This window comes from Homo sapiens, chromosome 5 (assembly GCF_000001405.40).
Source record: "Homo sapiens chromosome 5, GRCh38.p14 Primary Assembly".
NCBI classification, from domain to species: Eukaryota; Metazoa; Chordata; class Mammalia; order Primates; family Hominidae; genus Homo; species Homo sapiens.
The window spans coordinates 129,081,232-129,090,954 of NC_000005.10; the positions used below are offsets into that span (position 1 = coordinate 129,081,232).

The 9,723-nt window shown below is 38.4% G+C and overlaps 1 long non-coding RNA gene across 1 annotated transcript; it reads left to right on the forward strand.

Moving 5' to 3' along the window:
• The first annotated feature begins 2,218 nt into the window (after positions 1-2,218).
• Positions 2,219-6,807, forward strand: LOC102723638 (uncharacterized). The gene is made up of 2 exons (XR_002956247.2): positions 2,219-3,126; positions 6,033-6,807. It is a non-coding gene; the product is annotated as an uncharacterized LOC102723638 (long non-coding RNA).
• The last annotated feature ends 2,916 nt before the right edge of the window (positions 6,808-9,723 follow it).

Genomic DNA, 9,723 nt, shown 5'->3' on the forward strand with positions numbered 1-9,723 from the left:
CAGAAGTTGCAGTGAGCTGGGATCACGCCACTGCACTCCAGCCTGGGTGACAGAGACTCTTGTCTTAAAAAAAAACAAAAACAAAAAGTGCCATGTGAAACCAGTCACCTCCCTGTGAGCCATTTATGGCTTCAGTAAATTGCATATCACAGTAAAAAGTAATCTCTAGTGGATCTCCTGTATTTTTCATCCTGTTTAGTGCAATATCATAAACCTTGAATGACACCATGGGACCCACACAGAGTACCACTAGCGATGCTGAAAGGGCTCCCAAGAAGCAGAGAAAAGCCATGACCTACACAAGAAAAAGTCAAATTGCATGATATGTATTGTAGATTGAGGTTGCAGCTGCGGTTGCCCACCATTCCAGACAGATAATTCATCTTGGAAACAGACAATGTAAACTTAAGCTATCAATAAATATAGTAATGTAAAAGGATTTTCTCTTTCTTATGAATTTCTTAGTAACATTTTCTTTTCTCTTACTTTATTTTAAGAATACAGTATATAATACATATAATACAGTATATAATACATATTATAATTATATAATACATATAATTTCCTGTTTATGTTATCTATCAGTAAGGCTTCTGGTCACCAGTAGGTAATTAGTAGTTAAAATTTGGAGAAGTCAAAAAGTTAAACACAGGGTTTTGACTGAGCAGGGACTTGATTCCCTTAACCCTTACCTTGTTCAAGGGTCAACTGCATATTATAATATCTTTGGGGATAAGGTGGGAAATGACTTGAAATCACTCAACCAGAGGATTTTAAAAGTGTGAGGGAGAAAAACTCAACTTAGTTTAGATGTTCATTGATTCGCTCACATATTATTGTGTTTCTATTATTCCCAGGAACTATACTGCTGGGAATACTCTGATAAGAGTTGGACAGAGTCTCTGCCTTCATTTAGTGTGTACACTTTATAAATAAACTTTTTAAAAAGATGACTACTGAATGGTAAGTGCTAAGAGAAAAACAAACACAATAATATGATAAGAGTATGGGGTTCCACTGAGGGAATCTACTCTAGATAAACCTAGAGGATGAGAAGGAGCCAGCATGGGAAAATTCTGGCAAACAATCTTACAAGCAGAGTAAGTACAAGACTTTGAAGCAGCAAAGATCTTACACAATCCATCGTGGTTGGAGCAGTAAGAGTTAAGAATACATAGATGAGAGAAGAGAAGAGAAGAAAGGCAGATATTGCAAGGTCTGGAAGGCCAAGATAAGGAAATGAATTTCACCTCATTTTAAATGTAGTAGGAAGCCAATAAGCCAACAAGAAATTTTAAGCAGAGAAGTGAGATGTTCTCATTTATGTTTCCAACAGTTCACTCTGCTGTGTACAGCGTGGACTGGGGGGGAAGAGTTAAAGCAGGAAAATCTTCAACTAGGGTGGCCCCAGTGGATTACAGAAACTTCAATGACCTAAGAATAGTTTGGTAGAAGCAATGGACTTTGCCGATAAAATGAATGTTGTGGTGTGTGAGGGCAATAAGTTAAGAATAACTCACAGGTTTCTAGCTTGGTCACTGGGCCCAAGGTATTGTCAATTTCTAACTTGGAAGGAGACTTTGAAGAAAAAATGTTTACAGGATACAAATCAAGTGTTCTGCTTTGACCATGTTATTTTTTAGAATTACTGGAATATACAAGTGGAGAGGTCAAGTAGGCAGTTTGAGATATGAGTCTGAGGTTCAGGGACAGGTCAGCACATGTAAATTCTGGGACTAGATCATATCATTAGGTGAAGTAACAGACGAAGAAGAAAAAAGTAATCAGGACTTCAGCCTATGAACATTTAAAAGGGAGATAATAGAAGAACCAAAAGGGAAAAAAAAGTGACGGGGTGCAGTGGCTCATGCATGTAATCCCAACTACTTGGAAGGCCAAGGCGGTTGGATCACTTGAGGCTAGGATTTTGAGACCAGCTTCGGCAACATAGCAAGACTTTCTCTCCACAGAAATTAAAAAAAAAAAAATTAACTGGACATGCATGGTGGCACATGTTTGTAGTCCCAGCTACTCAGGAGGCTACTGAGGTGGGAGGAATGCTTGAGCCTCAGAGTTTGAGGCTGCAGTAAGCAAAAAAAAAAAAAAAAAAAAAAAAAAAAAAAAAAAAAAAAAAAAAAAAAAAAGAAAGAAAGAAAGAAAGAAAAAAGCCTAGAGGAGGACAAGAGTGAGGAGAAAAGGGGAATATGATGTAATAACAGGATTTCATAAAGTAGAGAGTGATCAGAGATGTGTTGAATATATTTGAAAAGTGTAGTAATTGAGTGCATAGACATGGTCCTTAGCCAGACACATGGGTCATGTATTGGGTAATGTGGAGATTATTGGTGACCTTGACAAGAACAGTTTTAGTGCACAGAGGAGGGAGAGGCCATACTGAGGTGAGTTTATAAGTAAATAGAAGTTGAGTAGACTTTTTCAAAATGTTTTTCTATGGAGAGAAGAAAAATGGGATGATATTTGTAGAAAACGAGTTATATTATCATCTCCTCACTTAAAAATAATATCATGCCCAATGAGAAAGATCCAGTAGAGAGAGAGATATATTGTGTATGTAGGAGAGGGGTGGGGATAAGTGCAGAACAGAAGCCTCTAAGGGATGGTATCCAGAATCTAGGTGGGGCCTTTGGTGGGAGTAAGGAGACTTCCTTCAACTTATCTTGAGGAAAGATGTCATTGCTCACTGCTGTGCTGACCTATAAGGCTCAAAGAATGACAAATCATAAAGCTGTCTTTGCCAAGGGTGACATGCCTACCTGCAGCACAGCAGTGAGGCCAGCAACAATGTGACCAAGAACTCCAAACAAGCCATTGATTAACTTAGGGAAGTTAAAGCCAGGCAACATGTGATCACTGTAGATATTGCTAAACTGTCTTAGGATGTATGATTTCAAGATCTGAAGATAAATTTTTGAGACAATGGGAGTTGTGGGTTTGGGAAATAGTTTATAATTTTGTTTTTTTTTTCTTTCACTCCAGGAGTCCATTTATTTAAAAATGAACCAGACACAGCCCTGGACAGAAACTTCCTGATGAGATACATGAAAATTCTGAAATACAAAACATAATGAATTGTAAACATCTTTCTATCCACGAAAGATGGTCATGGTGAGGTGAATGTACTAAAATAGAAATGTGTCTCTAAAAGTATATTCTTTAAAGAGAAGACTGAGCTAGGAATACCAGACCAGGCTAAAACTATGACTGCCTTGAATAAAGTAAAATATGCATAAACTGTACCAAGAGATAAGGATAACAGACATATAAAAATATTCAGAGTTATACATAACAAAAAGAAAATATAATTAGACAGTTAACTACTTCACTTTTCTATTCAAAAATTATGGCCAGGCACGGTGGCTCACGCCTGTAATCCCAGCACTTTGGGAGGCCGAGGCGGGTGGATCACGAGGTCAGGAGATCAAGACCATCCTGGCTTACATGGTGAAACCCCATCTCTAAAAATACAAAAAATTAGCCGGGTGTGGTGGCAGGCGCCTGTAGTCCCAGCTACTGGGGGATGCTGAGGCAGGAGAATGGTGTGAACCCAGGAGGCAGAGCTTGCAGTGAGCCAAGATTGCGCCACTGCACTCCAGACTGGGTGACAGAGCGAGACTCCGTCTCAAAAAAAAAAAAAAATTGTTAGTAACTTAGTTGTATCTTTACTCACATTTTCTGCCTTTCATTTCCAATGGGACAAGTGCCCCTGATCCTACAAGAAGCCCAGACTTCCCTCTGTGCTCTGGATTCATCCTTTTCATCATTCAATTGCTAGTCTTTCAGTTACCATCTCTCCTAATGTACCAAAAAATATGTTCCTTTTCTTCTGGCTAATTCTTACTAGCATTGAACAATAATCGAATGTTTCTAGCATTTTCTGTCTTTAAAGAAACACTTCTAGCCAGGTGTGGTGGCATGTGCCTATAGTTTCAGCTACTTGGGAGGCTGAGATGGGATGATCCCTTGAGCCCAGGAGTTTGAGACTGCAGTGAGCTATGATTGTGTCACTGCACTCTGGCCTTGGTGACAGAGCAAGACCTCATCTCTAAAAAAAGATTTTTTTCTAAACCTATATCCTTCTTAATCTAAAGAACTGATTGATTCTTTTCTAACTAGCAGTTTTCTCTTTGACTTAAAAAACCAGGCTTTTCACCCCTCTATTCCTCTGGAACTGCTCCTGTCAAAGTCACTAAGAGCCTTTGTGTCACCATAATCTCCACACTCATTCAAATCATACTTGATCTCTCAGTAGCATTTGATATAGTTGGCCACTTTTTCTATTAAGTTGAAATATAGGAAATTTATGTTTTTGTAGGTCTAGAATTATTTGGGCAATTTTATTTGGCTCAATCTAATAGTAATATTTTTTTCTTAAATTTCGTTACTCTAGTGTCCAGGTTTTTTGCTACTTCAGTATCGAATGCATGAATCTCATTCCTACCCCATTTATTCAATGTTAACTCTCTGTCATAGGTTCCATTTTCTATTCTAGGTATGATCTCCCTCCAGGTGGTGTCATCTATTCCCATGGTTTAAATATCTTCTTCGTGCAGATGTCACTTATATTTCAAATCTACTCTCCATGAATATGAGATTCATACTCATATATGCAGCCGACCTAACCATCATCTACTTTCGGTGCCCAATAAGCATCTCAAACTTAATGTGGTCAAAAGAGAATTCTTTTTTTTTCACCTCCATGTGCTTCTCTCCTAGTCTTCTTCATCTTAGTAATGGCACTATGGCATTGCTGGATACTCAAGCACAAAAGCTAGGAGTCATTCTGGATTTCTGCCTTTTCCTGACTTCTCCACATCTAATCTATAAAAAGTCCTCTTCTTGATAGCACATTCCTCCATTCATTTCCATTTATAGTACTAATAGCCTAGAGCAGGATTCCTCAACCTTGACACAATTGACATTTTGGGTCAAATCATTTTTGTTGTATGGAGCTGTCCTGTGCAATGTTGGGGGTTCAGCACCATCCCTGGCCTCTCCCTATTAGATGCCAGTAGCGCCCCTTTTCCCAATTGTGACAACCAAAAATGTCTCCAGACAATGCCAAATATGCTATAGGTTAAAACTACCCCGGCTGAGAACCACTTCTCTACAGCAATCTGCCATCCATTACCTCTTGCCTGGATTACTGTAATAGTTAACCATAGGTCTCCCTTCTACTTGTGGCCTCCTACATGCAATTTTCTAAGTAGTAATAAGATGATTCCTTTAAAATCATGAATCCGTTTATGTAATTTCCCTGATTAAAATATTTCACTCAGAATAAAATCAAATTCTTTATGTGGCCTTCAAGGCTCTACATGATATAGCCTTTCCTCACATCTCTGATCTCATCTCATAGAATTCAACATGTTCCAACCACATCATTCCTCAAACATAGTAGGCTTGTTACTTTCTAACAGCCTCTGTACTTGTTTTTCCATGTGTCTGGAATGCTCCTCCTTACCATTCAGATCTCAGCTTAAATGTTTCCTCCTAAAGAAAGTAGATCACAGGCAACCTATATCACTCCAGCAGAGTGCCATATTTTCTTCCTAGCCTTATCACTAACTAGAAATATCTCATTTATTTGTTTACATGTTTATTGTCTACCTACCTCCAGTAGACTGTAAACTCTATAATAACATGGGCATTATCTTTCTTGTTCACCACAGAATTCTTAGTGTATACAGTTATTGATTTAATAGATGAAAAAGTCAAGTAATTCACTTTAATATTAACATGAGTTTTAATAATAATATTGGTGATAGTCACAGCTGGATGTGCCAACAATCAACTGTAAGACCTTTGGTGATCTTATAGTTTATTTGGTTATAATAAAATGATATAAAAACAATAAATTCCTATTAATAATTTTCTGTTAGGTCTTTACTAGATTATATATAAGGTCTTTTCTGGTTCTAAAATATATCTGGTAGCTCTTAAAAATCTCTCGATCATACCACGTTCCATCTATGTATAAAACTCCATCTTGATTTTCTTCCTTTCCTTTGCAGAATATTTTCAGAGTTCCCCCATGGAGAAGACTGCAAAAGCTGTTTTGATACTTGACTTTCCTTGCCTGCTTTATCACATTTGAGAAACTACAAATGGAGTCAAATAATCTCATTTGGAGTCGGCTGAGTAAATCCAGTAATCCTCTAATAATAGCGACCTCAGGATTAATTTAAAATATAGACAAATAACTCACCTAAAAATATCACCTCTGACTGAATAATATCAATCAGGAGTATTTTACAATATAGACAACTCACCTAAAAATATCACGTTTGACTGAATATACCTTTGATTTTTCAATGTAGTATCCTGAAGATATATTTGGTGTAACAGCTCTTCAACAAATATTTATAGTGTCAGGCAGTGTTCTAGGAGTTGTGACACAGTTGAGAACAAAATAAACAAGTCTCTGCTTTCATAATGTATACAAACGGTAATAAGCATTAAGAAAGAGAAGAAAAAGGAGGCAGGAAATAGGCATAGAGTGAGATTATAGTGATATTTTATATAAGGCAGTAAAGGTGGACCTTTTTGATTTGAGATACCTATTTGTGCACAGACAAATGAGGAAGCAGAAGCTGTGTGGCTATCTAGGAGAAGAGAGTTTTCAGGCAGAAAGAATGGGAAGTACAAAGGATGAGGAACATTAAGGAGACAGTGGGGCTGGAGTAGAGAGAGTGGTGGCAGAAATTAGGATCAGAGAGATAAGACATTGGATTGTACTTTTTAAGGTAAAAATTTACATTTAATAAAATGCACATATCTTAAAGTACACAAGTAAAATGTAGAATATTTCCATCACCCTACAAAATTCTCCTGTGACCCCTTCCAATTAATCTAATTGCCCCACAGGTGACCACTGTTCTGTTTTTTTTTTTAATCACCATAGATTCATTTTATCTATTTTGAACTCCATATGAATGGAATCATACAACATGTACTCTTTTTTTTTTTTTGAGATGGAGTCTCGCTTTGTCACCAGGCTGGAGTGCAGTGGTGCAAACTTGGCTCACTGCAACCTCCACCTCCTGGGTTCAAGTGATTCTCCTGCCTCAGCCTCCCGAGTAGCTTAGACTACAGGTGCATGCTGCCACGCACAGCTAATTTTTGTATTTTTAGTAGAGATGGGGTTTCACCATGTTGGCAAGGATGGTCTCAATCTCTTGACCTGGTGATCTGCCCACCTCGGCCACTCAAAGTGCTGGGATTACAGGTATGAGCCACCGCACCTAGCCAATATGTACTCTTTTGTGTCTAGCTTCAGAATGTTTATTTTCAGAGATTTTGTGATTAAAGAACAGGTGCATATTTTACTATGTAAAATGTTGCCATATCAGTTTTTCCAAAATGGTGTGCCATTTTATGCACCCCTGCAATGTATAAAAGTTCTAGTTTCGGTTGATGTTACTGTCTTTTAGTTTATCTGTTTTAGTGAGTGTGAAATAGTAATTTTTTTGCAGATTTAATTTGCAAAAAAATTAAACACTTTCTGAGAAAGTGATATTAAACACTTTCTGAGAAAGTGATATTAAACACTTTCTCATGTGCCTGTTGGGCAATATTTATCTGCTTTTGTAAAGTGTCTGTTTGAGACTTTTCCTCTATTTTAATTGAGTTGTCTTGTTATTATTATTGATTAGTAAGAGTCCTTCATCTGTTCTGGTTGTTTTCATGGTGGTATAGTGTCTCTCTTATGGTGGTTTCTCTGGTGAGCATTGTCATGGGATATGAGGATTGTTATGCTTGGTGCTTATTCCCATTCATCTTTTCATGCATCTATCTCAGACTTCGTTGTTCCTGATCTTCCAATCTTTCTTCTTCCAGGTGCCTAAGTAGCTGGCTCAGTCATTTGCCATTGTCCATGAATTTATGTATTTTCTAAGCTTGGCTCAGGTAACTTCTCTTTCCATACAAAGAAGATGACCAGGTCACTGCCCAAAACTTTGCTCACTTGGAAATTTCCTCTCATTCCTGTCTTTCAAGTATCAAGGGATACTGAGCCAATCCATTTGTGAACCAAGCTCTGACTTTTTTCTCCCCCATCAACTGGTGATAACAGGTCTTCCACACGATGTGAGAGAGAGGCACTGATAGAATAGTAGTAGATGACATTGGTGTCTAGGCTATCTGATCATGTAGACTGCATGTCCTGCACAGTCTTGCCTGTGCTTGATCTCACATGTACCAATTCTATCTTCTTATGGATTACTTCTGGGCCTGCTCAACCTTATGCCTTGGTGGGTCTGACAGTATACAGCTCAGGATGGGCAGTGCCATCTGCATGGTCACTTGACGGCCTTTCAAAACAGTGTAAATTTCTGCTGAAGATGGCATAACTTTGTTCCAGAACTGATGGTGTCTGCATTATGATTCCCACATTTGGGCTTTCCATAAATCTAATGGCATCTTCTTGTGTTACTGGTATTTCCAATAGTAAAAGATCTTTCATATTATGCAGCCCAGGAGGCACGGCTGCTTGCACCACTACCTGGATCTACTGCAAAATCCTTTCTACTACTCTCAGCCCCACTAAAACCTTGCAGCATTTCATCTTACAGAGAATGAGGTGTAGCATAGCATTATTCTCAGTTGTGGCACAATGGTGCCTCCATTGTCGAAAGAGGTCTCCTAAACATTGTGTTTCCGTATTCATGGTAGAAAGTGCAAGTGTAAAAAGCAATAATTTGTCCTGTACTTTGGAGGGGATGTCTTAGAATGCCTTAGGACACTGGGCCCTAAAACATTGCTAATGTGGTGGTTCCTTGAAACTATTTAGAGGTTATCACTCCCCTCTGGAACACTTGTGTCTTACCAAGGCCTTCAATGAATAGTCACTTTTTGTTCATCTTGTTCAATCTGCATGATGTTATTGATACAGTGAATGAAGGTGATATTCTGCAGGATGTCCAGCTAACTTATATCTCTTCAGAGTATATTGTAATAGACGGCAGGACAGTTAACATAGCCTTGGGGTAAGGTTGTAAATTTATGGCCCATTTAAGAGCAGCCTTAGAAGCACTGTGTTCAGACCATCTCCCAAGAACCTTACTAGGGTGTTAAATCCTCTATCCTAATATGGTGTTTCCTAACCGAGAAACTTTTTTGTTCCACATCCTCGATCACACACCCTCCAAATCCAGTGCTGTGCATAATCTCTCTGCTCCTGATGGTATATGCTGGTTATTAGATTCTGTAGCTGCTCTTGGATATATTCCTTCTTTTTCAGGCCCAACATATCTGTGGCCAGATTTTACTGTTAATTAAGCCTACTTATGGATATAGGTATCAGGAGGGAAGGAGAGGGAAGAGCCTGGGAAAGCTAATGTCTTGCTAGAGAAAAGGCTTTGCATTGCCTTCAAGAAATGAGGGAATGCTAGTCATTAAGAAAAGAGTAAGTCATTTCTAAAGACCAGATCAATTAAAAGAATCGAAGGACTCATAATTTTCAGTGTCATCAACTTTATCCCATGTGTCACGGTCCCATTTCTCAACCAGAGTCCTGACCTTGGCATAGAAAATATGCATTTTTTAAGAGTTTAACCTTCTTTGGAGCTCTGCTACCTTCAGTCCTAGTCTTGGTCCTCAGCTTTCTCTCTCTTCTTATTGCAGGAACTGAGAGACTCAATGCTGCCAAAAAGTTCTTCCAGCCTTCACACTTAGCTTTTAGTTGCCAACTATCTTTTTTTTGGT